General features: G+C 47.0%; 1 protein-coding gene across 47 annotated transcripts in view; it reads left to right on the forward strand.

Annotated features, from left to right (window-relative positions):
- ZNF536 (zinc finger protein 536) overlaps positions 1–22,260 on the forward strand; it is a 487,995-nt gene that overhangs the window by 299,960 nt on the left and 165,775 nt on the right. For 27 of the 47 annotated variants that reach the window (XM_047439770.1, NM_001376110.1, XM_047439779.1 and 24 more), the window contains one exon: positions 9,296–9,448. In XM_047439770.1, the coding sequence (XP_047295726.1) occupies positions 9,296–9,448 (153 nt within the window). Of the gene's footprint in view, positions 1–9,295; positions 9,449–15,225; positions 15,313–22,260 lie in introns of all 47 variants that reach the window. The other 20 variants (XM_011527554.3, XM_047439763.1, XM_017027532.2 and 17 more) reach the window with 1 other exon arrangement.

Genomic DNA, 22,260 nt, shown 5'->3' on the forward strand with positions numbered 1-22,260 from the left:
GACAGGCAGTGAGCAGTTTAATACACAGATCAGCTGACCATCTGTGAAGGGCGATGTGGAAGGTGACATGGGCTGAGAGCTGGGGGTTGGGAGATTTCCTTCCAACAGTGCGATCAGAGACAATCTCTCTCAGAGAGGTGACTTTTACACGAAAGTTAGAAGAGCATTCTAGGGGAAAGAGAATTCCAGGAGGAGGGGAAGCAGGACCAAAGCCTTACTGGAGAAGGGACGTAGCCTCAGAGGAGAACAGAAAGTTGGGAACCAGCCTCAGAGGAGAACAGAAAGGTGAGGGTTGGAGTGCAGGTGGGGAGTTGGGATGAAGTCAGAGCAGTAGGGAGGCCACCTGGACATATTGAGACACAGCTGGAGGTTATTCTAAAAAGCAATGAAATGAGTAGCTGGTCCCTGCCCTGCCCCCAACCAGAGGCTGTTCCCAGGAGATGGCAGCGGCCTGGGCTGAATCTCTCAGACTCATTCTCCTGCCTGGGTCTTCTCACCAAGGCCAGGTTCTTAGGTGACCCTGCTCAGCGACACGAATGGTCTCTGGGGTGGGCTCCAGCCCACAGTCCCTGTCCCACAGAGAAGAGACAGGTGTGCAGAGCCCAAAGAGACATGTCACACCTGATGTCTTGTCCCAGGTCAATTCTGTGAATCCCAAACCTTGCCCGCTGCATCCAGGGTTGCAGTCTCTAGCCTGGGGACTGAGAGTACCTGCCCACAGCCAGCCCATAGCCACCCCTTGGGGCCTTGGCAAGATGTGGCGGTCTGCGGATGACAGGGGATGTTGTCACAGCAGCATCACATGGTGCCAGAGGGCAGAGACCCCATGGGTGGCCTAATCCCCAGCAGGGAGTTTCACAGACTCCACCAACAATTAAGAACAGGTTCAGGGGCCGGGCGCGGTGGCTCACGCCTGTAATCCCAGCACTTTGGGAGGCCGAGGCGGGCGGATCACGAGGTCAGGAGATCGAGACCATCCCGGCTAAAACGGTGAAACCCCGTCTCTACTAAAAATACAAAAAATTAGCCGGGCGTAGTGGCGGGCGCCTGTAGTCCCAGCTACTTGGGAGGCTGAGGCAGGAGAATGGCGTGAACCCGGGAGGCGGAGCTTGCAGTGAGCCGAGATTGCGCCACTGCACTCCAGCCTGGGCGACAGAGCGAGACTCCGTCTCAAAAAAAAAAAAAAAAAAAAAAGAACGGGTTCAGGGCTTGGGAAAACCAGAAACACATTTGGCCCACAGTTCTTGATCTTGAAGCCCTGGTATATTTTAAGGAAAATGTAATCCATGTGTTTCTGATTCATTTTCACTTAACTCATCAAAATGTTGCTTTAGAGAAGGTATTTGAAATCCTAGTGTCTTATATTTCTCCCTTTTTCTTTTTTTGAGACGGATTTTCACTCTGTCACCCAGGCTGGAGTGCAGTGGTGTGAACTCGGCTCGCTGCAGCCTCCGCCTCCTGGGTTCAAGCGATTCTCTTATCTCAGCCTCCCGAATAGCCGGGACTACAGGTGCCTGCCACCACACCTGGCTAATTTTTGTATTCTTAGTAGAGATGGGGTTTCACCATATTGGCCAGGTTGGTCTCGAACTCCTGACCTTGTGGTCTGCCCACCTCAGCCTCCCAAAGTGCTGGGATTACAGGTGTGATCCACCACACCCAGCCTCCTTTTTTTTTTTTTTTTTTTTTTTTTTTTTTTAAGAAATTAGCCTTTTGATGACCTACTTCCCCAATTCCAGAAATCGTCTCTTGCCACCAGCAAATGGAACTCTGCCCAGTTTTGAGTTTGGGTAGAGGGTGAGACATGGCAACATGGAAAACATGCCACCTCTCTATCTCACGTGTCCCAGGGCTCACCAGTGAGGTCCAATCCCGACCCCGTTGGTAATAACCCACGAGCAAGCTGCCTGTTGCCTCCTCACAAGTGGACATCGTTTTCTAAAATAGCTCTTTATTTAAACAAATACTTTCACCAATCCATAAGAATACTTAACTGTTTAACATGACTATATATGGCCACCATAAAATTGAGCACTCTGATGCAACCACAGAGACACCAAGTTGATACTGACCCGAGGCATGAGTTATGTCTTCTAAGAGTTAGGTAGAATTGTTTACAGTAATGTTATAATTTTCATGCATACCATTAATTTTAAATAATTAAAAAAAATAAAAGGGCCAGTTGTGATTGCTTTATTTGAGTCTATTAAAGCTTTCAAAATAAGGGAAGTGTTAAGCTTTTAACAGTAGCTATACATTCCTTTGGACTTTCCCCAAGGTGTCGGTATTATCTTGCTCCTGAAAAGATCTTCAAGCCCTGGCATACGTGGGCAAGGACATTAAGAAAGATGTGATTTTTTTGTTGTTGTTGTGCCACTGAACTGCTTCTTCACCCCTTAGACTCCACAAATAGTTTTTTTTCTTCATTAATGAAGTGAGAGCTGTGATTTTGAGACGTTCTTTGCACAAAGCATACTTGCAGAATTAACTGACAACTCATCTGGGAAAATGTATTTACTGTTATACTAGAAGCTCCATAGAAATTAAAATATCATGGCATTTGATGCCATAAACGTAGTAAGCGCCAGGGTGTTCACAGAGTTAGTCACCTTACCCATGCGTGCTTGCTGGGGTAACTCTCCAGTCACCATCATCATTGCCAACAGCATCATCATTATAATTTTTTTTAATGGAAGTCTTTCCAAAATGTACTTCTGGGCATCTGAAGGGTAAGGCTGCCAGCGAGTTGGGATGAAGCGAGAACCAAGAATCCACATGCAATATAAGAAGAAGTCATTCTTTCCTTTCTCTTTGTCCTCTCACTCTGCCTCTTTTGGTTTCTATCTCTGGCTTCTCCCTTTCATTCTGTGAGTTAATTGGACTCCCTGGAAGATTGGATATAAACCCAGAAGACTTCACCAGTAGAGGATTGACTCTTCTTAGTCAATTTCTGACCTTTTCCCACAATGGCTACCCCCAACATCTCTATGGCTTAATATAACCAGGATTTGTTTCTCATTCATGCAAAGTGTGATGTGGGTCAGCTGTCATCCATCTGGTGACTCAGTGACCCAGGTGCCCTCTATTTTGTGATTCTGTTGTCTCAACCTTTGCGTTGCAAGGTCACTGTGGCCCAGGAGGAGAGGGCGGAGGAGGTGCAGGCACACTCTGTCTTCATTTCCTTCATCTGTTGGCCAAAACTGACCACCTGTCCTCAGCTTAGTGCAAGAGAAGTTGGGATACGTAGGGGTCCAGGGACTAGTTAGCAACCATTTGCCGTCCTTTTTACAGTCATTTCTTCTCGCCTCTTTAAGACCCAACATCAGTATCTTCTTTGGCTGTAGGGTGGGGTCAGCGGGGAGAATGAGAGGCCAAAAAAAAAAAAAAGCAGCGGGCAGAGACAGCCTGGGATAGGCTTGGAGCTCTTTCAGCATGGCGGGACCCGGAGGTCTAGTCCTCGTGGGTCAGATGGGAACCAAGGGCGAGGGGAGGGGTGAAGGGACTTGCTTGGGATAGTTGGATATTAGGGACCCGGGAGGAAAAGATTCTGCCTCCTAACGCCTGAGTCAGCATTTTTGGAAAACAACGCTATTTTATTATACAAAGAAGTTCAGTGTTTAGAGAGAATCTAGGGGGAAATCTACCCTTCAAGTACAAAATCATTTTATAAACAAAGTTTTAATATCCCAAACATATTATATATAAATAAGGTTAAGTGTGTGTTGAGGCACCCATCCATTCAAATCATGTTTGTATACAGCAAGATAGCCAACCTCAGGGGTGGTTTCAGACAGCTGGTGACAGTGTTTTCTAAGTATCGGGGCTTTAACTTTTGAGAAGTTGTTTGTCTTTCTGAGCATCCGTTTCTTTGTCTAACTGGTACTGCCGCTTTGTGGTCCAGTGGATGATGAGGATTCTAAAATGATCCGTAGCCATTTTAATCCCCCCAACTCCTTCAGCCCACATCCCCTCCTCTGAATACTTGGGGAAAGCATGCACCTTCATGTCACCTTGATCGAGGCCAACCTTGCTATAGACTCGGAGGATAAGAACAAGCGAATGGGCATGTAGACAACATTGCTGACCTTGAGAAGACAAAATTAGGAAGGTCTGTTGCCTGATGTCTCCTTGTTCCTGGTAACAGACCTTTAAAAAACTTGGATCCACCTCCTTTTTCTTTAGCAAGTCACTTTCAGCTTGTAGGCACGGGCAGAGGAGAAAGCTGGCAGAGCTTTTGATGCCTACTTCAACACATTTGCTCTTGGCTACAGTCTAGGAGGGTTGCAAATATGGCCTGTGTCTGCCTGGAATATTATTCGTTGTACCCATGCAAGGCACCCACATCTGAAGAAATAATCCCATATTATTCAGTGGAGTCAAGAAAAGAAACAAGGGCCACAGGAGCTGTTTCTCAGCTGTTTCTCCATCAAGTGGGAGCCCAGAGCACACCCAGGCTGAGGGTGCATTAGGCAAGAGAGGGCCTCCCCGCCTGCAGCCAAAGGTCCCCTCCAGGGACATCTCAGTCTCTAGGAGCTGGCAGGGGTCTGTCATTTCACAGATGAGCAGGGAGGAACAGATGGCAGCGTTGAGGCTGACCTCTGTCCACATGTCTGCCTTCAGTCTACCCAGCACATTAGAGAAAGTGTCACATAGGAGGGAAGGAATACCACTGGTTAGAGGAAAAGAAAATTAAAAAATTAAATAAATCTCAAACCAATGCACGAAAGGTTTAACAAAGGATCACAGATGCAATTTTTGTAATACCTCTCTCTCTGTCTTTTTGTTGTTGTTGTTGTTGTTGTTGTTGTTTTTGAGATGGAGTTTCGCTCTTGTTGCCCAGGCTGGAGTGCAGCAGTATGATCTCAGCTCACTTCAACCTCTGCCTCCCAGGTTCAAGCAATTCTCCTGCCTCAGTCTCCCAAGTAGCTGGGATTACAGGCACGCACCATCATGCCTGGCTAATTTTTGTATTTTTAGTAGAAATGGCGTTTTACCATGTTGGCCAGGCTCGTCTCAAACTCCTGACCTCAGATGATCTGCTGGCCTCGGCCTCCCAAAGTTCTGGGATTACAGGTGTGAGCCACCATGCCCAGCCAATACCTCTGTCTTTCTACTGCCTGCTTCCTGGAGTGGCTAGGAAAGGGCTGGTCTGTCTGCAACATAAACCAGTGACTGCTTTCTCCACCTGATGTTATGGGGTGCCAGGAGAAGTGATGGGACTCCCTCCTGCAGTTTGCAGAGGGGCAGACGCCAGTGCTTTTATACTCGGGGTAGAGAAGGAATCCAAGAGCAGATGCACGTTCCCCTCTGAATGACACTCTCAGGTTCTTGCTGGGGTTGGGCCAAGTTCAGCACACACATCCTCACCAGCACCCATCCTGGCACAGGCTGGGGCTCACGCACAGTGCCCTGCGGGTGTCCTGCCAGCACTTGCTCCCCCAGCCTTCACTGTGCTTGGCTTTCAGCCTCTCTGGACACTTCCTGGGACCACCCACGATAGCCCTTCATCTTCTCTCAGCATGATTTTCCAGTAGGATTAGTCTAACCATAAATGCCATAGGCCTTCTGGCCCTCCAAAAAAAATCCCTTTTCTTTGTGAAGTAATAATTAGACTCTTAAATCTGCAAAGAAAACTGTTTATCTTACAAATTTATTCTTTTTATTGGGCCACACATATCCAAGATAGAAAGATAAAAGGAAAACAGATACAGGCCATCACTTAGAGTGATGTATAGTGAGGCAGGGCTCATCCTCAAGTTCTGCAAAATGTTCCACAGTGCAGGGCGGCCGTATCGCTATTTTTATCTGTAATGTGGCCTGGGCAAGTCCTTCCCAAAAGCTCCAGGAGAAATATGCCCTCTCTCATTTCTCCTGCAGTGTCTTCTTTTTTGTGATTTTTTTTTTTTTGAAGATTCAGGGGGTACATGTGCAGGTGTGTGGCATGAGTATATTGCGTGATGCTGAGGTTTGAACTTCTAATGATCTTGCTGTCTAAGTAGTGAGCATAGCGGTCGATAGGTAATTTTTCAACCTTGCTCCCCTCCCTACCTCCCCTGCCCTTGGAATCCCCAGTGTCCATATATATTTTTTTGAGACAGGGTCTTGCTGTGTTACCCAGGCTGGAGTGCAGTGGCGTGATCCCGGCTCATTGCAGCCTCGACCTCTCGAGTTCAAGCAATTCTTGTGCCTCAGCCTCCCCGGTAGCTGGGACTACAGGCATGCCCCACCACACCCAGCTAATTTTTGTATTTTTAGTTTTGCCATGGTTTTGCCATGTTGCCCAGGCTGGTCTGGAACTCCTGACCTCAAGTGATCTACCCACCTCGGTGTCCCAAAGTGCCAGGATTACAGGTGTGCACCACCACACCTGGCCTCCAGTGTCTATTGTCCCCACCTCTGTGTCCATGGTACCCAATGCTTAGTTCCCCCTTATAAGAGAACATGAGGACATTCTCCTGCAGCTTTATTCCACAGTGGCTCCTTGCTACTGCTCTCTGGCGGGCTCCTCTGGAAGAAGCTTTATGGGAAGGTCCAGAGCATGCCACAGGAGGCCCCGCAGGAATTACCCTTCTTTTTTTTTTTATTTTTCATATTTTGAGACAGAGTCTCACTCTGTTGCCCAGGCTGGAGTATGGTGGTGCGATCTCAGCTCACCGCAACCTCCACCTCCCAGGCTCAAGCGATTCTCCTGCTTCAGCCTCCCGAGTAGCTGGGATTACAAGCACACATCACTACCACCTGGCTAGTTTTTGTATTTTTAGTAGGGATGGGGTTTCACCCTGTTGGCCAGGCTAGTCTTGAGCTCCTGACCTCAAATGATCCACCCGCCTCAGCCTCCCAAAGTGTTGGGATTACAGACATAAGCCACCATGCCCGGCCCAATAATTACACTTCTGAAACCTGCCCCTGCCTACCTTCATCCTGAAGCCAACATCCAGGACACCTTAGTCCTGCTTATAATTCAAATCAACAGTGATTGGCCTCCTAACTTAAATTAGGTATCTCGACTATGTTGCCAGGAGCACTTGGGCAGAATTTTAATCAGGCTCATCATTATTTGAAGCTGACCTTCATGATTCCAGCAAAAGGGAAGCTGAGGGAGGCCGGGAGGGCAAATGCAGCATGCTCAGGGTTGGGGTGGGTGGGAGTGGGAGAAGGGTAGAAGGAGATGGCCTTGCCACTGTCTAAAGCTAGGGTATGTGGTTGGCTGGAAATGACATCTAGCCATCACTCCTTCTGGCAGCAGCTCCTTGTAGATTCAACCTGCAGGACATAGAGCCACTGTGACCATATGTAGAGCATTTGTCTGATGGTGACTTTGCAACACTCTCTTGTGTCCATTTGCCCTGATCAATAAGCCATCTTTGGGGGCCTTTCCACATTCATTTGGGCAACCACAATCTAGGGCTTGGTGGAGTGACTTTGAGTTCTAGATGTGGATGAGCCTAACTTCCTACTTGTGCAAAATTATAGGAAAAAAAAGCTAGGTAATTATACCCTTTGAATAGCTCTCCAATGATGGTTAGAAGAGTTGGGGAGAATAGGATTAAAGTGAGATTTCAAATATAAATAACTGTGCCAGGGTGATGATATGGTCGTACACAGTCCAACTGCAGAGAGAATGCTCCAAGCCAAGAGTTTCCACAGTTGCTTAGAGCGAATACTCAAATAAGAATTAAATGTCTCGGACCCAGTGTAGTGGCTTATGCCTATAATCCTAGCTCTTTGGGAGGCTGAGGCGGAAAGATTGCTTGAGGCCAGGAGTTCAAGACCAGCCTGGGCAAGATAGCAAGACCCTGTCTGTGCAAAAAATAGAAACTTAGCAAGGCATGGTGGCCTGCACCTGTAATCCCAGCTACTTGGGAAGCTAAGGCAGGAGGATCCCTTGTGCCCAGGAGTTTGAAGTTGCAACAAGCTGTGATTGTGCCACTGCACTCTAGCTTGGGTGACAAAATGAGACGCTGTCTCAAAAAAAAAAAAAAAGAATTAAATGTGTTGTCCTTCATCTTTCTCATGGTCTACAAGTCTGCCGCTTTTGGCTGTTAGCAGAGAACACCAGGAACAGACGTTGAGGAATAAAAGCAGTTTGCATTTTCCATTGCTTGGAAGGCACAGATCTTATTTATTGTGATCTCTGCAGAACCCGCAGATCTCATTATCCCAGAAGGTTCCCTTGTTCTCCTAGTGGGATTTACCATGAGGCCTAGAGGGTGGGCTGGAAGCTACGGTGAGGATCACCCCGCTATCCTCAGGAGCTTAGATTCTGTGCCAGGCCTTCAGGCTCCTGCTCTGTGGGGATGTCCATGATTCTGGAAGAAAAGTGAGCCCAGAGAAGGTTCTCTTGCTTCTCCTCCTCGATTCCCCAATTGTGACCTCTTTGGCAGTGTGATGTCAGGCCTCGGGGGCTGCAATAACATATCCTCCAACCACTAGACATTTTTCCAGTTTTATTTACTATTATGTCCCACAATTTCTTTGCAGAAGGCAGCCATATGTAAATTTTATTCCGTTTTCTAATGGTTTGGGTTACATAACAAATAACAGCAGGAAGGAAAATTTGTATCGATACTTGACAGAGGAAGTTCTCAAGTCACTGCAAAAAGATGTGTCTGCAGTGCTGTAAGTTTATGGGAGTTTTGCAGCTGAGTCTCTGCATATGACTTTGAATATGTCACTATATGTTTATCATGGGCTAATTGTGGAATCACATTTCCATACTTTTTCTTCTCCCTTTCATGAGATTACACCAGCCAGTGATGGATACAAGACTCTACAAGGAAGAAATGATCAGTTTTGGATAATTTTCTTTCCTGTCCCAAAATAGCCATATGTCTGCATGTCTTAGGGACTCAGCTGACACACATTTTTTTTAATTTGTTGCTTGCTATAATGCAAATATGATTTCAGTCCCATAGTGAACTCTACAGTGAGTCCATATTATAAATTAATCAGATTCAACAAACACCAACATTTTTAAACTTTTGAAAAAAATATTTAATAGGAACTAAGCAAAAGAAGAAATCAAACCAGCTGCTGACACAGCTGTTTCTTTTCTTGTTTAATTCAGTTCAATATAAAGGTACCATATGCTGCTTAAAATGGTGATAGGAAAGATGAAATAATTTAAGAGAATAACAAGAAAATACATGAATTGTCAGCATTCTGTCAGATTTAAAGAATGAAATAGACAGGTGTAGTATTGACATGTTTAACTTTGTGTGGTGTTAGCAGTTTTGGTGCGAACAACTCCTGACATGTGCTGAAGTGATGTGAGAACGTTTCTCCTTCGCTGCAGACATTGGCGAGGAGGCTGGGAGATCTGCCGGCGTCCAGCAACCAGCGCTGCTTCGCGACAGAAGCCTGGGCTCGGCCATGAAGGACTGCCCGTACTGTGGGAAAACTTTCCGGACATCCCATCACCTTAAGGTGCACCTGAGGATACACACAGGTGAGAAGTCTGAGTGCATCCAGGGGCACAGCCCAGAGAAGGAGGAGGTCCCCGTCCTGCCTGCTTTCTGGCCCAGGTCCACAGCTGTGTGGGTCACTAACTCTGGAAGGTTCTCCCTGGGCCTGTCTAGCCACCATTGTATGGCTCAGAAGCGGCCCTCATTTCCTGATTCGTCACTTAACTAACATTCACCTCGCAAATGACTCAGGGACTCGTAAATGTAGACTTGGATGGTCCTGGCCTGGGATAACTGGGTCGCGTCTGAGCCTCTAGGGCGTTTTGCTAATGGTTTCCTTCTGCTGTATTGAAGGAGTCCCTCCCCAGGCGCCTGTATGAACCAGGAGTCTCCCAGGTGTCAGTGATGGGGTCTCAGCTCAAACCTTCCTAAGTGCAGAAGGGAATGAAGCCACTTCCCCAAGCATCCAGGTAGAATAGGCTTTAGCCCAGCCTGTGTTACATGCCCAGACCTGGGACAGGGCAGCTGGAGTCCATCCTCGTCACTCCATGTGGCGTGGTGGAAAAGTGACTCTTCCCTGTATCTCCTCAAAGAAGAAATTGAGATGCTCTTAGGCAAAGGGGGGCAAGTGGCTGCTGCACCCCTCTGGCCATTTCTCATGTTTTGGCGTCATACTGGACGAGGACTGGCTGGCAACAGGGAGTTCTGTGTGTCCCTCAGTCACCGTCCTTTTTAGCTTTCTGCTTGTTGCTTGCACATTGCCAATATAAAAAAAAAAATCTATCGGAGATATGGACACTTCCATTTTCTTTGATTTTCCTCCTGACACTTTATCTATTGGAGTATGAGCTGCTTCAGAGGCTAGACAAATATGCCATCTATTTTCAAAAATAATTGTGGTTTATTTCCCAAGGAATCAATAAGGCTCTGGGTTGCACAGGAATATTGAGTGCACGCGGGCTGCATGGGCATCGCGTGGGGGGAGACAAGAAACCCCTCACCTGGTGCCTCACCTGGTCCCCACAAATCTCCCTGACACCGAGGGAAGCCTGAGGACAGATGGGCACAGGAGGCCATGGGCCGAGTCACCAGCCCTGTTCATCCTGCATGCCTCTCTTGGAGTCATCTCAGGCCAAAGAGGTGTCTTTTAAAATGGTCCTCCAGGTCCCACCACTCTCCCAAAAGGCCTCATGCGACCTGCCCATGCCTTGCCCCGGCCCCATCCTGCCCCCTTCTTCATCCTTGGCACCTTTCTGAAACACCACCTGCATTCTCCCTGTTCTTCCAATGCAGAATGCCTGTTCCAGCTGCAGGACCTGTGTTCCTGCCCCTCCCTCCACCTGGAATCTTCCTCCAGGTGGTCCCTGGGGACTTAGCTTTACTGGGATCTATTCGGAGAGGCTGCCCCTGACTATCCCACCTAAAACAGCCCTCACATCCCCTGCAATTATCTTCTTTATAAACTTAACAATTTCAGAAATGACCCTGTTGGGCTCCATCGCTTATTTGTCTCCCACCAAACAGAGTCTAAGATTTGCACAGGTGGCAATATTGTCTATCTTTTGAATTGCTGTCATTTCTATAACCCCAGGGTCTGCAAGGGCACTTTACACCCAGTAGGGGCAGATGAATTTATCTGAAAGGTTGAATGACAGAAGAAATGCTCAAATAAGTGAGTGACTCCTCCTGTCTTCCCTGCATTGTTCAAGGTGGCGCAGAGGAGTCAAGGGCTGTAGGGAAAGTGGCCCCTTCCCCAGGGAACACAGGAACCTATCAGAAACCACAGCCTGACAGTCAGGCTGCAAGTGCTGGTTGCTTGGGCATAGACAAAGTGGAAGATCCTCTTCCCCGGGAGTTCAGGGAGGGGGCCTTGCATTCTGAACTCAGGGTCTTTGCCCTTTGAACTTCTCTGCCAGATAGTTGCATGGCTTGCTGCTTCCCCTTCAGAGTCTGGCTCTGATGCCCCCTTCTCTGTGAGGCCCACCCACATGGCAGTGGACCCCCCGCCCCACCAGGACTTTCTAGACCGCTTTCCTTCCCTGTGTCACTTCTCTCCATAGTGCTCACAGCATCTGACACACCATGCATTTGTATTTCGTTGTTGTTTCTCTCCATGCACTAGACTGTGAACTCCTTGAGAGCAAAGGCTGTGTCTGTTTGTCCAGCTGTGTCCCCAGCCTAGAACAGAGCCTGGCCCAGGTAGGCACTCAGAAAGTATTTGCTGACCCAGGCATTCCTGCGTCAATTCGTGAAAGTGACCAGGCTCGAAGGCAGTCAGCCCAGACATCTGGTTTTCTCAGATGATGCCAATGTCCATTTTCCTCCCCAGATTGGAGCCAGGGTTGTGGTGGTGGTTGGGCAGGGTGGGGACCCGCAGACTGCCAGGATACGGGAGGTGGTCCACAGGGCACCCATGCTTGAGCTGCCTGCAGGAGTGTGGAAACCAGGCTAGGCATGTCTTGTCTTGTGTATTTCATGTCGACACAGAACCCTGGACCACATTTCCCAGCCAGGTGGTAACTCTCCATGGGTAACGTCAGCCTTGCAGGGTGTAAGAGTCAGTGAGGAAAGGCGGTGCCTCTCAACGAGGGGCTCCACTAACCCTGTCGGCCCAAGACCAGTCAGCTTCCCGGGGGGTAAGAGAAGACACTCCACAGAATATTTCCAGGCAACTTAGGACCAAAGCTGACAGAAGTTCTGGATAACCTGGGAGAGAGCAAATGGTTATTGCTCTTCGCAGTTTTCAAGCTTGAGAAAGACTAATGTTTCTGAACTTCTGCTTCACAAACCTTGGAATACTCTTCGGAGACATTGAGAGAGACAACATAGGGCCATGGACAGAGGCATTCTGGAAACTTCCTAGAATCAGAGAGAAAATGAAAGAAGCCATGGAAACATCACACCACCTCCACCACCCCTCGGAAGCAGCATTCGCCGTATGTAAAAGGCAGAATGGTAACCAGATAAAGATCAATTACCTTTTTATCTAAGAACAAAGAAGCTGGAAAATGCTTACACTTGTGCATTTGAATAGAACAGAAAGTGTTACATGTTATAAATCACCCAAATAAACATCTATTATGACAATGTAAAAGTGTAGATTACACAAGTAATTAAAAATCACAATCAACGTATTTGTTAATAAGTGATTTCATGTGGGACTCAAGTTGGTGAGAGGCCCTGACTGCCTCTCTTTTGGCCCTGGTGTCTCTCCTTGCTCCAAATACCATACAGTTTTTGTATTTCTAAATGACATGGCCAGAGGACAGCAGTCTTATTACAAAACAAAAATACATGTACTCCAAAATGCCATCTTTTTGAAGTTTTTAAACCATGGACCCATATGAGCACATTTAAAAACCCAACGTGTAATATAAATATATTTTTAATTGGGATATCAGATGGCACCTTCTCTGTATTTTTTCTGTCCGACTGCATCTTTATTGGAAGTCTCGATCATGTAACATCAATGGATAAAACCTCTCTCCTTTTTCTCCCCACTGCATTAACTCAATTACTGTTTCTCTTCTCCTAACACCTGTTTGTTGGAGAGGTGCTGACTAGATGCACCAGTCAGGTTGTTCTGAACATCTGGGAGCCCGAGAGAGCCTATGGGTCACTAGGATGTTTCTGATGCACCCTAAGCTTCAGCCAGGTCCTCAGGGGACCAAGGGGAGGCTGCTGCAGGATCTCGGGAGTCCCTAAGGCCATCAGATCCTGGAGGCTGCCTCACTCTGGCTCCAGGCAGGGCAGACGTTGATGGCTGCTTGACCCAGAGGTGGCTGAACTTCTCTCCTCATGGAGACATTACCCTGGGCAGACTAGGGTCCAATAACTGGATATGGACAATTTTTATTCTACAGCACAGTGTCTGTGATTCAAATTCAGAGCCCATTATTGCAGGCTCAGAAAGGAGATTGCATCAGTCAGGGTTCTCCAGAGAAACAGCACCGATAGGAAATGTATATATGGCCAGGCACAGTGGCTCATACCTGTAATCCCAGCACTTTGGGAGGCCGAGGCGGGAGGATTGTTTGAGCCCAGGAGTTCAAGACCAGCCTGGGCCACATAGTGAGACCCCATCTCTATAAAAGGAAAGAAAGGAAAGAAAAGAAAAGGAAAGAAAGAAAAGAAAAGAAAAAGAAAAGAAAAGGAGATATGCACCCCCCCCACACACACACACGCACACAGGAGATTTATAAGAAATTGGCTCAAGTGATTATGGAGGCTGAGAAGTCCTAAGATCCAAGATCTGTAATTGGTGAGCTGGAGACTCAGGAGAGCTGATGGTGTAAATTCCAGTTCAAGTCTGAGCCAGAATGCAGATCAATGTCCCAGCTGAAAGACAGCCAGGCAAAGCGAGTGCACTCCCCCTTGCTCAGCCTTTTGTTCTATTCATGCCTTCAACGGATTGGACAAGGTGCACCCACATTGGAGAGGGCCACCTTCTTTACTCAGCCCACCCATTCAAACGTTCATCTCATCCAGAAACACCCCCATGGACACACCCAGAAGAATCCTTAACCAAATATCTGGGCACCCTGTGGCCCAGTCAAATTGACACACAAAAATTAACCATCACAGAAATACATCAGCAAACATCTAGTTGTAACATGCAATGGGGAGGGCGCATGTCCCCAGAGTCTCCTGAGAGGTTGGCAAATCATTTCAGGATTGGTCTCCATGCACCCATGCCATTCTTTTCCTCCATGTCCCCTCCCTGTGCACTACCTTGGGAAGCCAGGTGCCTGGGGGTACTCTGGAAGGTCTGATGTATCTGTTTTGTGTGTACAGGAAGCAGGCAGATGCTGACAGGTCCCTGAAAGCCTGGGGGAGGCGTGACCCCCTGGTGGGTGAGCACCTCATGCGTGGCTGCGGGACTCCTGGCTGGGTTCCCTACCGAGGCTCTCCCATGTGTGGGTTTTTCGGGATGGGGTTGTTGTCTCAAGGAATGACCATTGTAGAGAAATGTAATAAGCAACTTCACTCGTGAAAACTTGGAGGCATGAAAGTTCAGGGACTAATTAAAAATAAATCTCATTAGTTTCTTCTCCCTCTCGAGTTCTGTGAGTGGTTTATTAATCTGGTTTTGATGTGCCGCATGTTCCAGCCCCGAGTCGGGAACCTCTTTGTGGGAATGGATCCGCACAGGGAAGTCAGTGGTGGTTTCCCAGGGATTTCAGCTGTGGTCACGAGGGGTTCAGCATTGGGCTGAAGGGTACGCCCGGCACCCCCCAACTCCTGGCTGCTGTCTTCACGGCACAGCTCCTGGATGCTGGCTGGGCTCTCACCTGTATTCTTGTCCCTTTCCTATAGGACCAAGGAGGATTGTGGAAGGGAGGGCGTTCTCCCTTGCAGCCCCCAAAGGGCTGCACACCCAGTCGGGTGTAGGGAGGGAGACCTGGACATTATCTTGCCTTGTGACTACAAAGCCTGACAGCAACTGGCTGAACACAGAACTCAGCCCGCAGGGATGGAGTAACGGCACAATAACAGTGATGGTAGTTCCCACGTTCTATCCACGCCCATATGCAGGCTCTGTGCTAGACACTTTGCATTAACTCGCTCCTTCATCCCTACAGCACCTCAGTCACCAAGGCTCCATCCCCTGCCCCGCTTCAGGGGAGGGCGCTGAGCCTCAGAGACAGAGAGGTGAAGTTATCCCATCCCGGAGTTGTCCAGGCTTGGATTAAAGGTTATAATCAGATCTGCCTAATTCAGAATCTCATTCTCTTCACCGCTGCATTGTATTGCTACTTTTTACTTTTCTGAGTGAATTTCTGGCTTGTTTTAGGGAATTAATGCAACATTTCTTTGACAGTGTGTGTCCACACCATACCCAACAGGAAGGAAAGAAGTGACTTGTACTCACAAGTGGTGTTGGCGCAGCCTCCAGGGAATTTAAAAGGGAAGTACTGTGCACCCCAGCTCCTCCTTGACCCCTCCCTCAGACTGGCCCCAGGCCAGGCTTCCTTGGCCCCACGTGCTTGGGTTTCCCCACTAGCACAGCGAGGTTAGGGGTGAGGCATGGCCACTGTGGCATGTGGAGGCGCTCTGACCTCCTGGGATGGAAACGGGGTGGGGGTGAGTGGGAGTGGAATCACTTCCAGCATCACAGAGCTGATAAACTCATGCTATGGTGGAAACCACCTTTCATCTTCAAAGTGCTTCCCGAGCAGTGGCTGGTACATAAACATGGGTGGAAATGAAACTTCCAGCCGGCCCCATCCAGGTGCCTTATGGCTGGTGTCTACGTCTCTTACATTTGATGCTTCTATGTAAGGTATCTAGGCTGTTTTCACACACTGAGTAAATATAAAAGCACTTTGCATACATTTTCAAAAAGGAATCAGTTAAAATGGGTGTTCTTCTCATTTCCTTTTCCAAAAAGAGAGCATGCATTTTTGCCGTTAGTGGGGGACCAACCACCTGAGTAATGATGAAAAAAAAAAAAAAATCTCCAAAAGGAGATAAGTCTTTTTTTCTTTTTGTTTTGAATTAAAATTCCATCATTTTTCTATATCTGAGAGGAACTAAAAGCCCGGTTTATTCCTCCTCTGTTCCCTATCCTTGCTTTTCCTGCCTTAATGACATCCTAAACTTTTGTTGAAAATAATTGATTGAATTTAAATTTCCTTAAAAGTTGAAGAGGTAATGTTACAGTATAAATTTCCTACCAAACACTAAGTAGGGAAATATCCATTAGTGAAATTAACTACAGTTTCTAGGTAGCTAACAATGTGCTGTATACAGTAGGGCATGGCTAATGAACACTGCAGTGGGTGATATTTCATTATACAAATTAATGCTCACATTTTAATGGGAAAGTCACATAATGAATCTGGGCTTCAGTGACAGCAATTAGAGACACAGATTGTCCCCTTCTGGACAAGGCACTGTTTAGCAATAAGCAGCTGTGTGAAAAGTCTTCAGGTTTACAACATATATATGCTTTGGGGGAATTAGTGTACAATTTATATTAATGTACTGAAGCTTTGCTGCAAAGACACCACCATATTTATCTCTCCTGGTGTTAACTAAGTGAAGAGATGGAGAAGGACTAAATAAATATCAAATTGAGGATGCAAATACAGGAAAATATTCAGTTGCTCAACTTAAAAGTGAAACACTTTTGGAGATTTAGCAAAAAAAACAAAAACAAAATAAAAAAACGAGAAGCATGAATCACATCTTAAACCTTAAAATGGTTTCCAAAGAGAATATGAATCCACCTGTTATTTTTGGAGAGGTGCTGGTGGGAACTTGCTCTAAATAGCTCTAGAATAACTCCCTGGAACAGTGAGGGTTCCTTTGACATATCAACAGCAAAGTAGAGGCTCAGAATTATAAAAGATATGAGCATGTAAAAATAGGTACCGTGAACTAATTAAACCACCTGGTCGTATATTTCTAGAAATTGATGATACAGTGACTTGGGAGAGGTTATCAATGATATTCTAAAGCTAAATCTATATCTTATGCCATGTGTCAGTGGGAAGCTGGCTTACTGTACGACAGTGCCAATAATTTCATTAATCAATTGGAATGATGAACTGCGGCCTTTTAATTTCATTATGCCTTTTCTAGCAAAACTCTTCTTTCTAGAAATTCATTGTTTGGGCCCACATCTTACTCCTTAAAATATAGTGAGAGGTTTCCCCGCAGAAGGCTACCAGTGTTCGTAGCTGCTTCCTTTAGTGGGCAAAGAGCCCCATTCTGCACATTTCACAATGACTGCCTGCTCCAGACCCCATCTGTAAAATAGAGCACTGTGACCCTTCAGTGTTTGAAAAGTTTTGAGATAGGTACTAATATTTAAAAATTAAGATACTGCACACAGAAACCTCATAGATATGACACTTTTCTTTTTTCTAGAGACAGGGTCTCACTCTATCCCCCAGGTTGGTGTGCAGTGGTGCAATCATAGCTCATTGCAGCCTCCAACTCCTGGACTCAAGCGATCCTCCTGCCTCAGCCTCCCAAGTAGCTTAGACCACAGGTGTGTGACACCACACCTGCTTAATTTTTAAATTTTTTGTAGAAACGAGGTCTCCCTGTGTTGCCCATGCTGGTCTTAAACTCCTGGGCCCAAGTGATCTTCCTGCCTGGCCTCCCAAAGTGCTAGGGTTACAGGCCTGAGCCACCATGCCTGGCCGAGACTTTTCTTGGAAAATCAAAGGTTCTAGTGCCCACAGTTGGTTAGAGTTGAGTGACACTGTGCTCCAGGAGAGAACGGCTGTTTTGCATACTCATCTGATCTGTGTGGTTCTGCCTGCATGCAAGTGTGTGGCACATATAACAGATAAACACAAAGCAATGAACCACAAACATCATGGAGGTCACCATAGGACTCTTGACCCCCTGGAAACCTTGGGAGGCAGCCTGAGTGGTCCCCTCAGTAGATGGGACTCATTTATGGCCTAAGTGGCCAATCACTCAACTAGACAGAGCTGCTGGCAGGGTCTGGGGCTGCCTGTACCATGGGGCTGCCCAGGCAATGCAGACCTGAGTCTCAGGCAGAGTCCAGCCTTGGTTGGGCAGGGCTAGGCAGGCCCAATGCCTGGCTCTTTTGGCATGGATCTGGCCATGTCCGGAGGCCTGGGATTTGCTAGAGTTAGCCCAGAGCGCTTGGGTAGAAGAGCACATCCAGATGCAGAGGCCTTGGCTGGGAAGCGGTTCTCAGCTCAGGTAGACTCAGCATCTGCCTGTGCCGGCCAAATGAAAGAGCAGATGTAGACCGCACCCCGGAGCCTGTGAAATGTGCTGTTAGGCCTCTCCTTGTGGTTGCTGCCCCACCCCGTCTAGGCCAACGTTGTAAGTAGTTTGCCTCCTGAGCACTCTGAAATGGGCCCTCTGAGGAAAGAATGCCTGGGAAACAGCTGGGATGTTTCCAGTGGAGCACAAGACCCTGGGGCTGCTGGGGCTCTAAGGAGGTTCACAGCTCAACCTCTGGGTGTGCCTGGCTAGAAACATGCCCTGGCCGGGGCTCACTTTCATCTCCAAAGCCTTCCCCTGTGCCCCTTGTTGGATAGGAAGCCCGGAAAGGGAAGCGAGGGCTTTGAGATAGAGGGCAGGGGTGGTTCTTCCAATCATTTAGCGATTACGAGGAAATTAAAATTGAGCTTGTTTCTTTGTGAACATAAGTCCAAAGGGGAAGGGTTTATCCCCTGGAACAGCGTGCCCACCTGGAGCACTTAACTGAGGAACTGGGATGATCGGAAGAAACCACCCAAACCAAGCCCTTTAGCGACCCGGCAGGAGGTGGAACTGTATAGAGAAATGGACAGAAAGAGCAATGCAGCCCTTTCATCCCAGTGCAGAAGGCAGAGGAAGCATGGGTGGAGAACTTTCTAGAACCTTGCATAGCACGTGCATTCAGAAAACCCTTGAAAGCTCATGAAGCAGCCCCTAATTCACCAGGCCTGGGCCCGTGGAGACTCCAATGCTAGGAATTAGCCTTTCTTGTTTCTCAGCTCTGGCTTTTATTCTCTGGAGCAGTGAGGGCCAAGGCCTATTTTGAACTCTAAAGACAGTGGGTGGAGTGAAGGGATGCTATCTTCCTGTGCACTCGCATGCTGTGTGTGAGTGTGAGAGTGCGTGTGCGTGAACTCTGCTAGCCTGCTATATGATATGTCTCCTCCAAAAGCCATGAGAGCAGAGAACCTACCTCTTTGGTCTTTACTCAGTTTCCAGGGTCAAGAAGGGAGGTTTCAGGTGTTTATTCATTCATCCATTGGTTCACTCCATCAAAAAAATGTGTGTGAATCAAACTGAAGGTTTCTGAGTCAGTGGGTGACAAGTATGTGCACAAGTAGCACTGGCTCTATTCAGGAGACTTAGTTTACTCCTAAACGAGCTTAGGATTGGCGTGAGACCCCACAGAACATGTGCTTCAACATGTCTTATTACAGGTTGAGGAAGAAAAAGTCCCAAGACCAGGATTCTGTGTCCAGTGGAATTCAGAGTAGCGTGGGTGTCCAGTCCCTAGTCCAGATTCTCAAATACCTCCTGAGGTCTAGACTGTCTTCCCTGCTAAACCATTCATGGTTCCCACTTCAAAGGCACTTCCAAGGAAGGCTGCCTACAATGGTTCCCCACTCAGGATCCACAGAGGGCCACCTGGGAAAGTCCCGAAAGATCCCGAAACCAAGTTTGCATCTTTGGCCAATTAACTCAGAATGTGGGGAGGTGGGACCAGGTATCAGCACTTCATCAAGCCCCCAAGGCAATTCCAGGATGGTTTTTCAAGGGATTGTCTTTACATGTCTGCACCAGAATCATAGGGACGCTTACAAGGCCAACTTCTGCGCCGACCCCAGACCCAGGGAATCAGAACTGCTGTGCCTTAGGGCCAGAACTGGTGTCTTACCACACTCCCCTGGTGGTTCTAATGCACAATACAGTTTAAGTACTACCCGCTCCCATATGTCTTTTTTTTTTTTTTTTTTTTTTTTTTTTTTGAGATGGAGTCTTGCTCTGTCGCCCAGGCTGGAGTGCAGTGGCGCCATCTCGGCTCACTGCAAGCTCCGCCTCCCGGGTTTACGCCATTCTCCTGCCTCAGCCTCCCAAGTAGCTGGGACTACAGGCACCCACCACCACGCCCGGCTAATTGTTTGTATTTTTAGTAGAGACGGGGTTTCATCATGTTAGCCAGGATGGTCTCGATCTCCTGACCTTGTGATCCTCTTGCCTCGGCCTCCCAAAGTACTGGGATTACAGGTGTGAGCCACTGCGCTTGGCCTCCTGTGTGCCTTTCAAACATGTATCCATTGGAAATAGACACACACATCCTCTGTGCATCCCCACAGTCCCCACCCAGAAAGGCAGCCCTCCACATTCCCAGGCTTGAGAGGAAAGTCCACCTTCCCCCTCTTTAGCTCCGCTAATGAATGCCCGTGCTTTCTCTATGGCCCCTTTGCCTGCCAGATGCACATAATCATTTCCAGGTGCATTTCTAAAACACAGCCTGAGTCCCACCAGGCACCTGCGGGCCTCACCTCTGCAGGCTTTCATCGCCTGGCCCTCCCGCAGGGCTTGCTCTCACTCGTAGGGCAGGATCTTGAGTTTCTAGGTAGGCTTGCCTGCTGTGGGCCCCATCACAACCCCTCTAAGTTTCGGGGACTGCCTCTGTTACACCTGATCACTGGGCTTCCAGATAAGCTGAATCAGCCATGACATCCTGCTGCCCAGAAGTGCCCCATCCCAGCCTGGCCTGCGATGGGATGTCTACATAGCAGTAGCTCAATGAGTCTGAGTCTAACCTGGGACTGACTCCAAGAAGGGGGAAATTACTGCCTGAAATTCTCTGTGCCTTTACCCCAAAGGGGATAGAGACTTCCTCCTAGATTCCTGTCATTGGTCTAGCTAGAGATGACTGTGACCTTTACGTTTAGAGAAACAGATTCCCTGCTGGGTTCCCTTCCTAGACCTAAGGGCCACCTCTGAAAAAGTGTCCAGGAGAGATCTCAGCTGCTCATAGCAACTGGCACCCTTGTTCTGATAAGGCAGGCAGGGTAACCACGGTTCTGGCACGTGATCTGGAGATGACATGGCATCTCCTGCTCAGAACCAGGCTGGTGGCCCTCTTGCTCACAAAGTCCACGCCCCCAAATGCCCTGTGCCTGGAGAACTGGGACTCATGCCTTCCGCTGAGACTAGACACAGTGAAATGTCTTCAGAAGACACCATTCACTGACGATTTGTTGTTACTTTTTAGATCAGTCTATTTTACAATAGAACAGAGGAAGGGGAGGGGGAATAGTTGAGGTTCCTGGAAGAAATAATTGTGGATATTGACAGGGCACCATTGTGAATAAGAGAGCGGGGACTGTCACAGTCCCCATTCCTTCCAGAGAGCCTTTTGATTGCAAAGTCTGGAAAAGACCTGGGATTGCTAACAAATTCTTGGAATATATTTAAATCTGCAGTCGTTTACCTTCTTCCCCTTCTCTATCCCACAATGCCAGCAAATGTAAGTTGTCTCTTCTGGTATCTTTTTCCACCGTGGAAAGAACAATAGAAGTTGGGGGTGTTGAATTTAAATAAATATTTAATTCATGAAAATTATCTTATATGTTTTAAAACACTCTTTAAAGCTATTTTTATTCTCTAGAAAGCGCTTATTATAGGTAAATTACACATTTTACTACCGGAGCATTAGGTTTGCCATTAGTACAAATTTAAGGCACTACAAAGACCAGTAGATAATGTTAATTTCAAATACAGAAACTAAATATATTTTGTGCCTTTTTATTACTCATTTTCTTTTAAGTTTTATTGACTGCTTTTTATCTTAACTATATGTCTTTACATGCTGCAATCATAATGCACTGTAATGGTATTAATATTTTATAGAATATGTATTTATAGTTCTTTATTTAGAAACAGTGCAGTAGGTCTGCAGATATCTGAGCCCGTCTGGAATGGTGCCCTCCAAATAATGATAAATTACTTGTGCAGTATGCCATTTGCTAATTATATCCATGATTTACTGCAGAGCAAGACTTAAATCATTCATTTCAGTCTTGCGTAACAGTGCCATAAAATTTTTAGGTTTAAAAATGGTTTCCATGTGTATAATTTAAACAAATTTTAGATCTATTGTATACACAAAATATTGCAACCACCCATTTGTTACATACTTTCTCTTTTTAAACTTCTACTTTTAATGATCACTGTGGCTGAAATTATTATGCTTAATTTTCATAATCATAGCTTTTAAATCTACAGCCGTTTTCACATGTTAGATAAAGAAAAAGATAGCTAATTGTGTGTAGATAGTATGTCATTCCTGAATAGTCCCAAATGGTACAAAATCATTAAAAAAGCTTAAGAGTACGAATTATTCTTCTATTAA

This window comes from Homo sapiens, chromosome 19, assembly GCF_000001405.40.
Source record: "Homo sapiens chromosome 19, GRCh38.p14 Primary Assembly".
Taxonomy (NCBI): domain Eukaryota; kingdom Metazoa; phylum Chordata; class Mammalia; order Primates; family Hominidae; genus Homo; species Homo sapiens.